The sequence below is a fragment of the Homo sapiens genome, chromosome 14 (assembly GCF_000001405.40).
Source record: "Homo sapiens chromosome 14, GRCh38.p14 Primary Assembly".
NCBI classification, from domain to species: domain Eukaryota; kingdom Metazoa; phylum Chordata; class Mammalia; order Primates; family Hominidae; genus Homo; species Homo sapiens.
Window position 1 is genome coordinate 49,940,175 of NC_000014.9, and position 16,923 is coordinate 49,957,097.

Below are 16,923 nucleotides of genomic sequence, written 5' to 3' on the forward strand. Positions count from 1 at the left end.
TCTTGTGAATGAGTAAAACTTTTCACTAGGAAGAAGATATGACTTCCAACAAAAGTTCTGGGCAAAGTGCTTGGTTTCCACCTCTGCCTGTAACACAGAGGCTGAGGTCCAGCAGCCTTGTCGGTCATTCCCTTCATATTCCCAACCCCTTCCCACACACCTCAGCCAGTCACCCGTGAAGAGATATTTCCATTTCCTTGTGAGAGAACAAAGTTATGTAAAGCTATTTTTGTGTGGGTAAGAGGAGGCCTGGGAAATCAAGTGGAAAGTAAGAGCGCTGTTTAATAAATAGGATGGTGCTGTGAAAAGAAAAAAGGCTTTGGAGTTATAGACTGAGCTTCCAATCCAGGTTCTAAGACTTAGGAGTTAGGTGATCGTAGAAAAGTGACTTAACCTCTCTGAACCTCATTTTCTCCATTTGTAAAATGGGGATAATATTTCCTTCAAGGCTGTTGTGAGGATTAAATCTATGTAAAATCTTAGATATAAAGTAGACCTTCAACTAATCTTAGTTTTTCTCATGATTAGCTGAAGACAGGGATCTGACCTAATTCTATTTTAGCTAGCTTGGTATTTCCTGCCTCCAGCAATGAGGTGAAAACTAGAAATACTGAGATTTTAAAAAATGAATACAGATTCTGTTCAGGGTCTCTAGGGATTATAGAATAAGGGAGGATTTAAATTTTTAGAAAATCATCAATTATATCAAATTATTTAAAAAATGGCCACTTACAATAAAACAAATGAGTTCTGATGTTAGCTGAGTAGCAGTATAAAATATGATTTACATTTTAAGGGTGGAAACTATCTTCTTTAGGATTCCCGGAAACAGCTGCTCTGGTGTGGTGTACACAGGAAGTACTGAAAAATGCTTGTTAAGTATTTTACAAAAGCTCAATTAATACATATTTATTATATGTACATGCATTTTTATAGCTGTTGTTTCTGTATCTTTGAGAATGAATCTTTAGAAAAAAAAATGTAGTCAAGGAACTTTTGCTAGGATTGCCAAGGCTAGGTTTGACCACTGATTCATTCTTCAACATTGTCAAGAACTCCTAGTACTTACAAAACAAGTCTGCCTGGGGAGGCAAAAAGATGAGAAGGAAGTAAATAACAATGTGAACTGAAGTTCTGTTAGGTTTTTGCTTTTTATTACATGCTTTTGAAAAAGGGTTTTATTTTATTTTTTTCTACTTGTGTTTTAATTTTCCTTAATAAACATATTAGCTTTATACTTTTAAACCCTAATCTCTTCCCTCCAATGCATGGACATACAAGCATGTATGTATACCATCAACACACATATAACCTTTACAAGATGCATTCTGGGCTAGGCTGAAGCAAACCTAAAACATCACATATAGGACTGACAGACTGAATGAGAAAGTCCTCATTTCATTGTCCTCTTTGGACTTAAGTAACTGTGTGTTAGAACAAGATCTAAAGAAGTTTGGTCCTTGCATCCTATGGTTATACAAACTGGCCTTATGACTCATCATCTTGTCCATAGTCTTGAATTTTGATATTGGTTAAAGATTCCAGAAACTATGTGAAAATATTAATATATATATATATTTTTTTGAGACAGGATCTCACTTTGTCACCCAGGCTGAAGTGCAGTGGCGCTATCTCAGCTCACTGCAAGCTCTACCTCCTGGGTTCAAGCGATTCTCCCACCTCAGCCTCCCAAGTAGCTGGTATTACATGTCTGGCACCATATCTGGCTTTTTTTTTTTTTCTTTTTTTTTTTTTTTTTTTGTATTTTTTGTAGAGAAAGGGTTTTACCACATTGGCCAGGCTGGTTTCGAACTCCTGGCCTCAAGTGATTCACCCACCTTGGCCTCCCAAAGTGCTGGGATTGCAGGTATAAGCCACCATGCCCAGCCAATGATGAATATTTGTTATCTCATAGTTTGTGGGTCAAGAATTTGGGGCAATCTTAGGTGGTTTGGGGCTCCCTCAGGGTCTTTCATGAAGTTGCAGTCAAGATGTTGTCCAGGGTTGCAGACATCTGAAGGCTTGACTGGAACTGAAGGATCCGGTTCCTAAGTGGTTCACTCTCACTGTTGGTAAGTTGCTGCTGGATGTTGGCAGGAGGCCTCAGTTCCTCACCACGTGGGCCTCTTCATGGGGTTGCTTGTATGTCTTCATGACATGCCAACTGGCTTCCCTCAGATCAAATGATCCAAGACAGATCCAAAGGCAGAAACTGCAATGTCTTTTATTAACTAGCCTTGGAAGTCACACTTCATCATTTCCACAATATCCTATCAGTTACACAGGTCAGGCCTATTTCTACTGGGAGGGGTCTACACAAGAGCATGAAGGCCACCAGACAAGAGTCATCTTAGGGGCCCTCCTAGAGGCTGGCTGCCATGCTTCTACAAAGTTTGATCCAAAAATGTCACCCTTTCACTCCTGTGGAATAGAAATGGAGGGGGGCAATATGGGGAGATTTCCTTCTCTTCTGAGAAATGTTTTCAACTTTCAGCTGTTTCTTTTGGTATGCCTACTTTTGATATAGATTTTTCTCTCTCCTTCACTTTTTCTCACCTCTTGCCCAAGTCAGTGTACCTGTTTCAAAAATGCTCTCCCTATTCTTATTCAAATTCTAACCTGCTTGGATTTGTGCATAAATAAAAGTATCAGATTCTGATGAAGAGACTGTGATACGCTTCTACAAATAAAACATTTTCATTTCAGGGAACAATTTCTCTGGCATAATGCCTAAAACAAAACATTTACAAACTAGACAGTGTTTAAAATAAGGATATACAATTGGTTCATCACAGAAAGAGCTAAAATGTATTACTTATGTAATAAAAACATTTGAGCATCAGCTGGTTATATGGTTTGGCTGTGTCCCCACCCAAATCTCATCTTGAATTCCCATGTGTTGTGGGGGGACCAAGTGGGAGATAATTGAATCATGGGGACAAGCCTTTCCTGTGCTGTTCTTGTGATAGTGAATAAGTCTCATGAGATCTGATAGTTTTATAAAGAGGAGCTCCCCTGCACAAGTTCTCTCTCTTTGCCTGCTGCCATCCATGTAAGATATGACTTGCTCCTCCTTGCCTTCCTCCATGATTATGAGGCCTCCCCAGCCAGGTGGAACTGTAAGTCCAATAAACCTCTTTCTTTTGTAAATTGCCCAGTCTCTGGTATGTCTTTATCAGCAGTGTGAAAATAGACTAATACAGCTGGGCGCAGTGGCTAGTGCCTGTAATCCCATCTACTTGGGAGGCTGAGGTGGGAGGATCACTTGAGCCCAGGCATTCAAGGGTACAGTGAGCTATGGTTGGCCCCCTGCATTCCAGCTTAGCCTGGGTGACAGAGTGAAGACACTGTCTCTTAAAAACAACAACAACAACAACAACAACAACAACAAAAAACCCAAAAAAACAGGACGTTTGCATTTGAGCATCAAGCGCTATGTAACACATTATGAAGTCCTATATATTAGACATGATTTACTAGTCAGATGTATTAGTTACCACCTAGGGAAGAGCCAAAATGAAGGTAGATATTTGTAAAGACAGTTTGATGACGGAATATTAATAAAAAGAATACCTACTCGATCTCCATGTCAATCTTCTAGTAGATTCACGTTTGCCAACTCTATCGGGCTGCATGCTGCTCCCAGTACTCTGAAGGACCCGCCTGGTGATGATGCCATCCAGCATCCACAGAAGCAGGGCTGCTTGCTCTGAGGGCTCTTTGTGAATCAGGCAGTGAAGGAAGGGTCATGAGATGGGTGAACTTGGGCATGTCTCGAGTTCCCACATCTTGCTTTAACAGATTTTCAGCTCCTTCTAACTCTACTAGTCATTTATTACTGTTTTCTAGGGACAGCCCCCATCTCACAGTCACTTCTAAGTTTTTATTACCTTAGAATTGCTGTGAACCAGGAAATAAAATAACCAAGCATATTTCATTTATGTCCAAAATGGATATTAGGCTGGGCACGGTGGCTCATGCCTGTAATTCCAGCACTTTGGGAGGTCGAGGCAAGTGGATCACCTGAGGTCCGGAGTTTAAGACCAGCCTGGCCAACATGGTGAAACCCTGTCTCTACTAAAAATACAAAAATTAGCCAGGTGTGGTGGCACCCGACTGAGGCACAGGAATCGTTTGAACCCGGGAGGCGGAGGTTGCCATGAGCCAAGATCGAGCCACTGCACTCTAGCCTGGGTGACAAAGTGAGACTCTATCTCAAAAAATAAATAAATAAATAAATAAAAAGGATATTAATACTATTAATAAAATGACTAATTTAATACTGAAATGGCGGTGTTCAATGAATACAGACACTGGGACCACCTGGGATCCATCCAGCTGCTGGGTAGAGGGAGTCCTATGCTGGGTGGGTCATGGTAGAAGAGTGATAGTTAACCCAGTTAAAATGCTGACCTACTAATATGACTTTCATATGCAGGGGTAACTCCAAGGAAAGCCTCACTGGGTGCTCCAAGAAGGCCACTGCCTGGTCTGTGGGTGGGAGTGGGGGATGGTAAGAGTGGCCTCTGGACTCAGTCCAGCTCCTGCATTTACCAGCTGTGTGACCTTGAGCAGATTCCATAAACTCTGAAAGCCTTAGTATGAGTTTTTGGTTTTTTGTTTTTTTTTTTTTAATTTAGAATAATGGTACCTAGCACAGAGGTTGGAAAGATTAATGAAAAAATGTGGCTGGGTGCAGTGGCTCACGCCTGTAATCCCAGCACTTTGGGAGGCTGAGGTGGGCAGATAACTTGAGGTCAGGAGTTCGAGGCCAGCCTGGCCAACATGGTGAAACCCCGTTTCTATTAAAATACAAAAATTAGCCGAGCGTTGTGGTGGGTGCCTGTAATCCCAGCTACTTGAGAAGCTGAAGCAGAAGAATCGCTGGAACCCAGAAGGCAGAAATTGCAGTGAGCCAAGATCGTGCCACTGCACTCCAGCCTGGGCAACAGAACAAGACTTGTCTCAAAAAAAAAAAATGTGCATAAGGTGCTTAGCACACTGCCTGGCACACAATAAGCATCCAAATGCATACTGCCATTTGTTAAAAAACACATACACACATCTTGGATCTTTGCTGTATCTCACATTGAGTGCCCCCCTTTTTCTTTTTTAAATCAGTAAGACACTTTAAAATGAGAATTCTCACTTCTTTCAGCAAGGATTTTTTTTTTTTTTTTTTTGCCTTTTGGTTACAGAACAGCAGGAATGAGACTAGACTAAGGAATAGCACTTAGCATATGATATGAGAATGTATTCATATGTACACACATTGAAGACTCTAGGACTTTGGAAGCTGTGGGTTAATATGAGAAATGTCCCTTTAAGAGTTAAACTTTGACCTGAGTTTAAAGGGCTGGAGGGGTCAGGAATGACTGGGAGGACATGGAGAATTTTAGGCAAAAACCACACAAGGAAGGAAGATAATCATCTAAATAACTTGGATAACAACTAGGGAGGGGATGAGGTTAAGTGTTTATTAGTGGGGGGAAACTTTCAGAGAAAGAACCACATCCTCTGTAGCTTAAGCAAAAATGGGACTTGCTTAGCTCACGTAAGTGAAATTCAGGCTAATCTTGGCTCCGGGTAGGGCTGGATTCAGGACTCAGATGGTGTGGTCAGGGAAGCCCTCCTTCCCCTGCCCCCTTTCTCCTGGTAGTTTCTCTCAAGTAGTGAGTTAAGACTCAGTGACCAGGGAGAAAGCTTTTTCTGAGAACCCCAGTAGCTTTCAGAGAGGTGTCTGGCCTAATCTGGGTCACGGTCCAACCTTCTCCCAGTCACTGTGGCCTTGGTGGGATTGGGGTGCACTGGGCAGGATCGGCTAGCTAAATCACATGGGATTGGCTCGCCACCACCCAGAGGAGTTCTGCTCCCAAAGACAGGGCAGAGGAGGCTGAGCAGGAGCAAGGACATATCCACAGTAGGTAATGCTCTGCCTAACTTCCCAACCATCTGCCAACACCCCATGGGCAAACATACCTTCTGCTTGGGCTTGACACCAGCCCCCCGAGCCAGTCAACAAGACCCCCTGAAGTGACTGCAGAGTCTCATGATCACATGAGTTCCTGGAAACTTCATCTTATAGTAGGTAGTTGTCGAGAGAACTAAACGTAGAGAGTTCCTTTGTACCAAGAGGTTTGGAGCTAGGGCAGAATTCACAGAATACAGGGTCAGCTGAGTGAAGAGTGGAGTGAGAGTATTGCTCAGGCTGTATTCAATGAATGTAGCCATTGGGACCACCTGGGATCTGGCTGCAGGTTGTTGAGAGCCTCGTGCTAGGTAGTTGGTGGTAGGACAGTTGGGAATTAACCTAGTTAACATGCTGATCTACTAGTACCGAGCTATGTATGGAGCTTTATTTCCAGCGTCCTTCCCCTGTTTCATATGTGGTCTTCAGTTCAGTGGAATATTATTCTTTTTCCCTAGTAGAAAAATCTCATGAATATTTTTAGAGACTTGCTTGTTTACAGTAGGAAAAAGCACACATCCTGTGCTTGACATGCGTCCTTCAAAGACTTCTGAGTGAGGAGGCCTGTGGGGCTGGGGCATGAACCAGTGGAGAGAAATAGCACAGATTACTAGAATGCTTTAGAAATCCTTTTCTGCTTCAGATAAGTGGCTAATTAAATTTGGGGTTGGTTATTGGAAAAGTGCCAATTATGGAAACGAGCATCTGTTGATCACACTTTGCTTCAGATGCTCGGCTCCTTGCTAGAGCCGTGTTGCAAAGAAAGCAGGGAACTGCTGCTAGCACCAAGACAAGCAGGCGTGGTGGGAAGAGTGATTCATTATGTTTACTTTCAGGTTTCCGTCTTGTAAAAAGATTAATTCAGTAGAACTCAAATTCCAGAGAAAAATGGACCATTTATTGTGTTCGATTCAGGCTTAGGCACAGCAGGTGGATTTTCCAAATTGCCTCATCTGACATTTCCTAGAAATGTAAGCTAACATTATTCCAATTTTTGGCAACTGGAAAGTTATATTTGAATATTCTACAAGTCAGTTGGCAGGACTGGAGATTTCAAACATTTAACCATCTCTCTTGAGCTTGATTTTGTCAAGTGATTTTTAACTGTGAGACAGTCCTTTTTTAGACCTGGAAATAGTCTCAGAAAACTTAAGTCATTTGCCAAAGATCAGTGAATAATACGTACATTAGAGCCAGGAAGTGCAGAATATTGATTAGAATTCAGTTATCTTCTATCTTGGAGTCATTTGTAGAAAATGACCATTATTTGTGATGTGTGTGATTTTGTTTGGCACATGAAATGAGTGAAGGTTCTTTTTAAAACAAAAATTCCTTTTTTTTTTGTAGAATAGAGATGACATCTTGCTATGTTGCCCAGGCTGATCTCAAACTCCTGGGCTCAAGCAATCCTCCTGCCTTGACCTCCCAAAGTGTTGGGATTACAGGTATGAGCCACCGTGACTGGCCACGTGAAGCTTCTTAACAAACATCTTGTCCTGGCTTTTTTTCTTGGTACCTCTAACGCTTGCTTACTGTGGTGTCTGCCTTTGGTAAGGCCCTTGCCATAAGTGAGCATGGAAAGCTGCAAATCACATGTTCTCTTCTGGATGTACACTTTCCTGCTGTGTTGGGCAGATCCAACAGGCAAATCCACTTTTCAACAATAATACCATATTCAAGGTAATGACATCCTTTGATCTTTTCAATTGGAAATGGTAAACCTAAGCAAATTAAATGCAAGCAAACACCATCAGTTAATTATTTCTTAATTGTTAGGCATGTCTGGTCTTCACCAGTTGTCTCTAAGATACCATTTTACTTCCCTATTATAACATGTTTTTCTCTACTTCTTTGGAGTTTCTCTAGTAAATAATCTTTAGGTTATTCTTGAGTGTTTTTGCTTGTTTGTTTTCATGGGTATCATAGATTTTCCCTGTATTACTCTATATCTTTGGGGTTATTTACTGTAACTGCAGTCTTTTTGTGATTATAGAATTTCTGATATTTGAAAATAACTTTTAGGTAGATAAAATGCAGACATTTTCTAGGGATGGGGAGTGAGGGGTTAGAGATGAGACAAGACAGTGGATGAGTTTGGATTTAGACTTCTTTATTTAGGGGCCCTCTGGGACACCCAGGTGGATATGGCCAAAATGCACTTGGAGATGGTCCGGGACTCAGAAGACAGTTCAGGGCTAGAGATAAATATTTGGAATTACTAGCTTATAAGTAATATGTGAAACTGTGAGAATAGATGTAACATCCAAAGGAGGAAGCATAAGTTGAAAAAGGTTGATATTAAGGGCTGGGTAGAGAAAGATGATGTGAGTGGTCATAGAAACAGGAGATTTGGGGAAGAGCGCTGTTTTGGAAGTCAAGGCCAAGGTTGAGATAAGAGTCTGGCCATCAAGCAGTCACTGGCCTCAAAAAGCAATTTTGTGAGGCTGGGTGTGGTGGCTCATGCCTGTAATTCCAGCACTTTGATAGTCTGAGGCGGGCAGATCATTTGAAGTCAGGAGTTCGAGACCAGCCTAGCCAACATGGTGAAACACCATCTTTATTAAAAATACAAAAATTAGTGGGGCATGGTGATGGGCGCTTGTAATCCTAGCTACTCGGGAGGCTGAGGCAGGAGAATCGCTTGAACCTGGGAGGTGGAGGTTTCAGTGAGCTGAGATCACGTCACTGCACTCCAGCTTGGGTGACACAGTGAGACTCCATCTCAAAAAAAAAAAAGAACAATTCTGTGGAGTGGAGCAACTGAAAGCCACACTCCAGTGGGTTGAGGCACAAATAGCTGCTCAGGGAGATTGTCAGTGAGAAGGTGAGTAGACTGAGCAGTTTTTCATGATGGAGTGTTGACCATGTTTCTTAGGGAGAAAAGGAAGAGGGAGATTTGTAACAAGGGAAAGAACAGAGAAAGAAGGGAGTGGGGCCTATCGATGGCTTGAGGTTTCAGGGATGTGGGGATAGCATCAGGAGAGCAGTGGTGAGTCTAGGAGGAGGGTACACATTCCTTCAGCTGGAACAAAGAATGCAAGTGAAAATATAAGCTGGGCTGGGCACGGTGGCTCACACCTGTAATCCCAGCACTTTGGGAGGCCTAGGCAGGTGGATCAACCTGAGGTCAGGAGTTCGAGACCAGCCTGACCAAGATGGTGAAACCCTGTCTCTACTAAAAATACAACAAATAGCTGTGCGGGGTGGCAGGTGCCTGTAATCCCAGTTACTTGGGAGGCTGAGGCAGGAGGCAGGAGAATTGCTTGAACTCGGGAGGCAGAGGTTGCAGTGAGCTGAGATCATGCCATTGCACTCCAGCCTGGGCGACAGAGCGAGACTCCATCTCAAAAAAAAAAAAAAAAAAAAATTAGCTGGGTGTGGTGGCACATGCCTGTAGTCCCAGCTATCTGGGAAGCTGATATGGGAGGGTCGCTTGAGCCCAGGAGGTTGAAGCTGCAGTGAGCCAAGATTGCGCCACTGAACTCAAGAGTGATGAGACTCTGTCTCATAAAATAAATAAATAAATAAATAAATAATGGAAAAAGAAAAAATGTAAGTTGGGAGATAGAAAAATGGTGAGAGAGTTATCCTGATGCCCTCTTCTTTCTCAATGAAGCAAAAGGCTGGGTCACCGCCTGAGTGTGAAAGGAGTTTGGGAGCATCTTTAGAAATTAAAATATATGATGCACCTAGCTTTTGTGGACCCCATATATTACATTTCTTTTTTTTTTTTTTAGACAGAGTCTTGCTCTGTTACCCAAGCTGGAGTGCAGTGGCACGATCTCGGCTCACTGCAAACTTGCCTCCTGGGTGCAAGCAATTTTCGTGCTTCAGCCTCCTGAGTAGCTGGGGTTACAGGCGCCCTCCACCATGCCCAGCTAATTTTTGTATTTTTTAGTAGAGACGGGGTTTCACCATGTTGGCCAGGCTGGTCTTGAATCTTGACCTCAGGTGATCCGCCGGCCTCGGCCTCCCAAAATGTTGGGATACATTTCCATTTTGGAATCTAAGTCATTTTTCACTTTCTTCTGAACCCAAGAAACATAACGTGTAAGAGCCAACAGCTTATACCAAAAGTCATGCAAATGCTAAGGTCTCAGTCCTGCTTGGAAAACTCACCCTGGGAATTTCTGACCAGCTAAGAGTTTGCCTTCAGATGTGTCTCTTGGTCTAATATAGTAAATCTATGCCAACCTATGCAGGTTTTATTGATGTGAAGATTGATGGCTGAGTAATTTATACCTTAACTAACCTGATAAGTTGACTCACTCTTTGAGAATGTTGTATCTTCTATGGAGAGAGAGTGAGAACTCCTTGGGGTAGGGAGGTCCCCTGAGAACTGTTAGTGTTCCTGATGTAATAATATGTCTGAAAGCCTTTTATTATGGAGTGAGTGTGACAGTTAAGGAACGGAAAGAAAGAAATGTGAGTCACACAAAATCCCCATTCCAAGTTCTGTAGCCATTGTCAATCATATTCAGGAAAATGTTGTAAGGAACTTAAATATTATATACTCTATTTATATTTTATATAATCTTTATAAATGCTATATACTTTAGCTTCACCTCTGATGGAAAAAGAGACATATGTGTAGTTTCACTTTCCTCTTCTATTTTATTATGCTTGCACTAAATGAGGCAGAAACACCTTAGCAGAGTGATTGGCCATGAGGGAGGGGACATGGGAGGGGATGTCGGCTTCTGCAGTGCAGAGGAGCCCTCAGAATTTAAAATTTTGCTCTATTTTCCTTTGAGATGTCTTACCTTTGCCCCAGGTTTCCCATTTCAGAGCATAATGTGGAGCAGGCTCACCCTACACGGGCACAGAATTCTGCAGGAGCTTGCCTGTTCTTGTCCTGGCTCCACACCGCTCCTCAGGGTTGGGTACAAAGTAGCTTTCCAAACCTCAGGTATGACCAGCCAGAACCTGTTTATTGCTGGCCACTGGCCAACTTTGAGGGCACTGGTACTGTGGCTCCCAAGATCCTGCTAATGGGCATGTTCAGTTACACACAGGCTGGGGATGGCCAACAGTAGTACAGCCTGGAGGATTTTGCACTTCCTTTGGCTGAACTAACAACATGAGACCCTTAAATACAGATCAAGCTAAGTGAAAAAGTTAAGGAAAATTAAAACAAGAAGCATTGGAAAGATTTTGCCTTTACTTAAAATTCCCCAACATTTTCCTTTTAAAAGAAAATTAGCTAACCAGCTTTTAGTGGTCATTTATGGCTTATAAATACTTTCTAAGACTTTGTGTCACTTCCTGTTGCACAAATGGCAGGTTGGAATGTGCCCTTAGATCTCACCTAGTATTTCCCTTTCCAGAGCATCTGTCTCCTCTATCATTCCTGGATCCTGAAAAACCTCCAGAAGAAAGGAGATGCTTTTGCGAGACACAGATCCCAAGGCTCCCCCTACTCCAGTGCTACCAGATGTAAGAGAAGACCCCTTTCCTGCCTGGACCTATGCCACAGGCTGTATCTGTTCACCACACTCATCACCCAAAGCTGGAGAAGCAGCAAGGAGCAATCACAGATGTGGGGTGATGTGTCCCCACCATTGTCATGATCCTTTGGACGTATCTTCCTCCTGTACACTTGAGCAGATTTGGAGACAGTCTATGAACATGTTTTTTTCCCCTGTTTTTATCAAGTGTTCTCTGTTTTCTACTGAATCTTCAAACACAGCTTGTGTCTTATTTTCTGTTGGATGTATCGAGAATAGTATTTTCCCACTTCTGAAGAGCTTAAAAAATAGGCCATACTTCTGTTTTTCTGAGAATGTAGTTCTGCCTATAAGTGGGGAGATGAAAATAGCCTTCTAAATCTGTGGTCCTTAAGTTTATCTTCCCTCTTAACTTCACCAGGGAGCCAACAGCACCCATGTGCCTCAGGGTGGAGGTAAGAGTGAGAGATGAAGTGCAAAAGGTTGTTCAAACTTAAGTGCCTGGCAAGTCTTTTGGTCCCTGAGCCTGGGGAATTGCTATAGAAATCTAATCAGAGAAAGCAATCCAGGGCCAATGGGCAGGGCCAAGTACTGGGCAGGAATCAGGGTCATGGGTTACAAATTCATTTGAGAGTGAAATTATGAGCTTGCATAAAACTTTTATAGGGCTTGATCCTGGGAAATAGGTGAGTACCTTTACAAGGTAGTTAACTGAAAGCTGGAGTTTTCAAGACTTTAACGCTTTTTTCTTCTCCTTAAGTGGTTGGGAATGTGGTGGACATTTGTTAAGTGTGTTTATTTTTTGTTCAGCTTCCCTTCTTCCAATCACAGTTTTGGTGTGACACAGTATTCTACATTGTGTTCACGGCCAACCCCCTCCCTCTATTCAGGGACCTCCAGGGAATGGTGCAGGACTCAAGCTCAGCCAGTCAGAGCCTCCTTTCTGGACCTTGAATATCAAGGGAAGAAGCAGAGGGTGAAAAATAGTTCAGAGGACGCTAGTGGTGGCAGTGTCATCTGTGGGCAGCAGTGAGGTGCTGGCAGGGGCAGACTGTCCTGTGGAATGACCTGGGCCATGCTCCTCCGTGCCCATTCTCTCTTGGTTTCCAGCCATTTTCCTGATCCTTGTTCTCTAGCCCTCCCATCCATCTTGTGAACTATTCAGTATCCTTCTAATACATTCCAGCTTAAATCAAATTAGTCAGGGCTGGTTTCTGTTGCTTGCAACCAAGAATTATATTGGGCCATCTGATGTTCCTATCCTCAAATCTAAAGAGATGTTTCCAGTGTTGCTAGTTGGAGTCTACTTAGAATGGTCTGGCAGCAAGCATGGTATGTCCCTCTATGTGAAAGGAGCTGTACTTAGAGATTTTAAGACCAATCTAGAGTCTAGGGTTTCCAGCATGTTTCCCAAGTGGACCCAACTAATTTGATGTAGAGAGAAATTCCACTGAGTATGGACTCCAAATAGTCAATGTTTGTAGGTATGAAGCCCAAGCCACAAACCTAGGTGGCAAGAGATGGTGAGTTTCTTCATGTATTTAAATCAACTTAATTTCAACTTTACCTTTTCCTACCTAGCAAGAAGGAAATATATTCCCAGGCACACTTGACTTCCCCCAGAACCTCCTCACCCCAAAAGTTGTTTGGAAACCCAGTGTCTCTAGTGCCAGCATGTGGGGAGGCCCTCTGGGCATCAGTCACCAGACTGGATTGGTGGCTGCTGAAACATCCATTGTCCTGGCCAGTGTGGTCCCTTCAAACCTAGTAGCTCTGTTTCTCCCCCTGCAGTGTTTGAAGCATGGGAATCTCTAGCAAGGCTGTTCCCTAGACCTCTGTCTCCCTAGGTGTGCCACAAAACAAAGCCTTTGAAGATTTGATCACCTCCCTAAGGCATGATTAGTCCACTTAGTGGGGAGGACTCTAGTCCCAGATACTTGAGGAATCTATAGATTTCTGTCCCTCCTTGTTTCCAGGAATCTGTTAGCCTGATGAACATCCCACTTTCTTCATAGTTCCCTTACAGGATTCCCTATAACTACCTAATAAGTTAATTAATAGCTTAAGCTTGTGAAAACAAAATTCAAGAAGGAAAATGTCCTGCAGGCAGCTTTTGCTTTCTGCCTTGCTACAAACCTCCTTTGAGGCAAAGATGCACAGAGCCTGTTCCTTGTTCAAATGGGAGAAGGGAGATGGGTCACTACATAGGATGGAAGGAAAATTTTTAAAAAATAAGCAATTTTTTAAAAGTCTTGTCAACAACAGCTAAAATTAATGAGGGGAAAAATAAAACAGAAGTTCTGAAAGGCTATCCACTGCCAAAGACAAGGATTAGTAGAATTTGTATTTGGTGTCACCATCATCTGTGATTCCTTAAAGTTTCTTTCTTTCTTTTTTTTTTTTTTTTTTTTTTGAGATGGAGTCTTGCTCTGTCATCCAGGCTGGAGTGCAGTGGCACAATCTTGGCTCACTGCAACCTCCACCTCCCAGGTTCAAGTGATTCTCTGCCTCAGTCTCCCAATTAGTTGGGATTACAAGTGCCCACCACCACACCCGGCTAATTTTTGTATTTTTAGTAGAGATGGTGTTTTGCCATGTTGGCCAGGCTGGTCTCCAACTCTTGGTCTCAAGTGATCCACCCGCCTTGGCCTGCTGGCATTACAGGCATGAGCCACCGTGCCCAGCCTCCTTAAAGTTTCATAAGAGATGTGATCTCATTTCTAAGCTACTCTGGTATGAATGTCACTCCCTCTTTTCTCACCCTAACTTTTTCAAGTCAGGAATGAGGAGTATTTCTTGTTTGCATTCTGGAAATCAAGTCAGCAGTTCCATCTCTAATTAATATGAAACTTCTACTCCACTGAAAACAAATATTTGTGTTACAAATGAAAGAGAATATCATCCACAATCTAGCTTCTTACTCAGTCCCATGTTGCAGCTGTTGCTTTAAATAGAATCCACTTGCTATAGACTTGGATAGCAAGATGCTTTGGTGAGGTATCTCTGTTGGCATGTGAGCCTAATACTTCACTGATATATTTAAAATAAGCATATGCTAAAAATTTTTTGTTCATTATAAATGCTGATTCCAAGCAGCAAAGAATTCACATTTTGGGAATTTACAAGCCTAATTCATTCCACACATATGAGGCCAGATCCTGGTAGAATTGATGTCTCCCTAGAAGAGGCAGTTGGAAGGGAGAGTTGGGTCTGCACAAACTCATAACCATTGTTGATTTTGAATCACAGAAACCCTGGCTCAAATGGGCTTAGATGAGAGAGGGCCTTATCATCCCATTTAACAAGGCCAGAGGTGGGTTGGCTCCAGGATTGGCCAATTCAGGGGCTTAGGGACATCATGGAGGACCTCCCAAGCCCACAGATATTGCCCATCTTTCCTCTCTGCAACCTTCTGTGTGGCTTCTCACGACCAAGGCATTTCCCAGCATCAAATCATGGCAAGATTTTGAGCCAGGGGAAAGGAGAGGTTTCCTCTTACCTGTCTCTTCTTGATAGCAACAGAATTTCTCCCAAACTATGCTCCCTGCCCCAGCAAATTTCTTTTCATGCCTCATTGGCCAGAATTGAATCAACACCATACACTCAAGGCTTGACTCAGGGAGGCCTTCCAGAGCACATGGCCTCATGGGGATGAAGCTGGGCTTTCCCAAGGAAGGGAAATTCAGGCAGGGAGTCAGCAATGTATATCATGCCACCTTATCCCTTAGGAGCTTATAAACAACATGTAAATATTCTTTATATATTTCCTGCTCCTGTTTTACTTGAGCCCCTCTTCATATTCCCTGGGCTCCATAGTTGCTTCAACAGCCCCTATCCCTCCCCTAACAGCCTTAGGTATCTTCTCTTTCCAATCCACACTCCTTCAAATACCCTGCCCCAACTGCATGCCCCTAGCAGCCTTCTTTTTTTGGGTGGGGGGACGGAGTCTTGCTCTATCGCCTAGGCTGTAGTGCAAATTTTTGTATTTTTGTATTCTTAGTTTTACCATGTTGGCCAGGCTGGTCTCAAACTCCTGACCTCAGGTGATCTGCCCGCCTCGGCCTCCCAAAGTGCTGGGATTACAGGTGTGAGCCACTGCGCTCTGTCTCCATTCATTCATTTATTCATTCACTTACTATATATTTATTGAGTATCTACCATATATCAGTTTGTCAGGTGCTGAGGATACAAAGGTAAATAAAGCACAGGTTTTTGTGTGTGTGTGTGTGTGTTTTGTTTTTGGTCTCTTTTTTTTTTTTTTTTTTTTGAGATGGAGTTTCGCTCTTGCTGCCCAGGCTGGAGTGCAATGGTGCAATCTTAGCTCACTGCAACCTCTGCCTCCTGGGTTCAAGTGATTCTCCTGCCTCAGCATCCCGAGTAGCTGGGATTACAGGCATGTACCACCACACCCAGCTAATTTTGTATTTTTAGTAGAGACAGGGTTTCTCCATGTTGGTCAGGCTGGTCGCAATCTCCCGACCTCAGGTGATCTGCCTGCCTCGGCCTCTCAAAGTGCTGGGATTACAGGCACGAGCCACCGCCCCCGGCCTCCATTCATTCATTTATTCATTCACTTAATATATATTTATTGAGTATCTACCATATGTCAGCTTGTCAGGTGCTGAGGATACAAAGGTAAATAAAGCACAGCTTTTGCCCCCCAGGAGCTCATAGAGGAAACAAGTAAACAGGCAAACCATCTAATGTGATGGTTGTTATAGAAACCAAGTTATAAGTAGAGGAATAAAGAAGTATTAATAATGGTGGTCATTGGCACTGTGGGAAAGCTAAGCATTTGCAAGGTAGATTGTGAACCAAGCCACATTTCTGATGTTTCCAAATTACTGGCTTAAAAAATTAATTGTTGGAGAATAATCAATGTATGAGTTACGAGTGATGTGAAGTATTCCATATTAAAAGGAAGGCATGGGTGGGAGGTTGGATTTGCTATCTTTTCAAAGCAGTTGGTGACTTTGTCATTTATTAATCTTATTAGAAACATTTCTTTTCTGGAGTTTAATTAGAAGAAAATACATGATGTTAAAACATACTCTACTAAATGCTGAGGGCCGGGCACGGTGGCTTACACCTATAATCCCAGCACTTTGGGAGACCGAGGCAGACGGATCACTTGAGGTCAGGAGTTTGAAGCCAGCCTGGCCAACATGGTGAAACCCTGTCTCTACTGAAAATAGAAAAAATTAGCTGGGCGTGGTGGCGTGCATCTGTAGTCCCAGCTGCTTGGGAGGCTGAGGCAGGAGAATCATTTGAACCTGGGAGGCAGGGGTTGCAATGAGACGAGATCATGCCACTGCACTCCAGCCTGGGCAACAGAATAAGACTCTCTCTCTCTCAAAAAAAAAAAAAAAAAAATATATATATATATATATATACACACACACACACATATATATACACACATATATACACATATATATACATATATATATATACACATATATATACTAACTGCTGAATGTTTCATTTGAACCTTCATCAAGTTTCAAA

The 16,923-nt window shown here is 42.7% G+C and overlaps 1 long non-coding RNA gene across 1 annotated transcript in view; it reads right to left on the reverse strand.

The window, feature by feature from the left end:
• The window catches only part of LOC100506446 (uncharacterized), a 43,172-nt gene that overhangs the window by 20,314 nt on the left and 5,935 nt on the right, over positions 1–16,923 (reverse strand). Inside the window, exons 3-4 of the long non-coding RNA XR_007064156.1 lie at positions 5,980–6,143; positions 3,578–3,718 (exon numbers count right to left, since the gene is read on the reverse strand). This is a non-coding gene — a long non-coding RNA (uncharacterized LOC100506446). The remainder of the gene's footprint in view (positions 1–3,577; positions 3,719–5,979; positions 6,144–16,923) is intronic.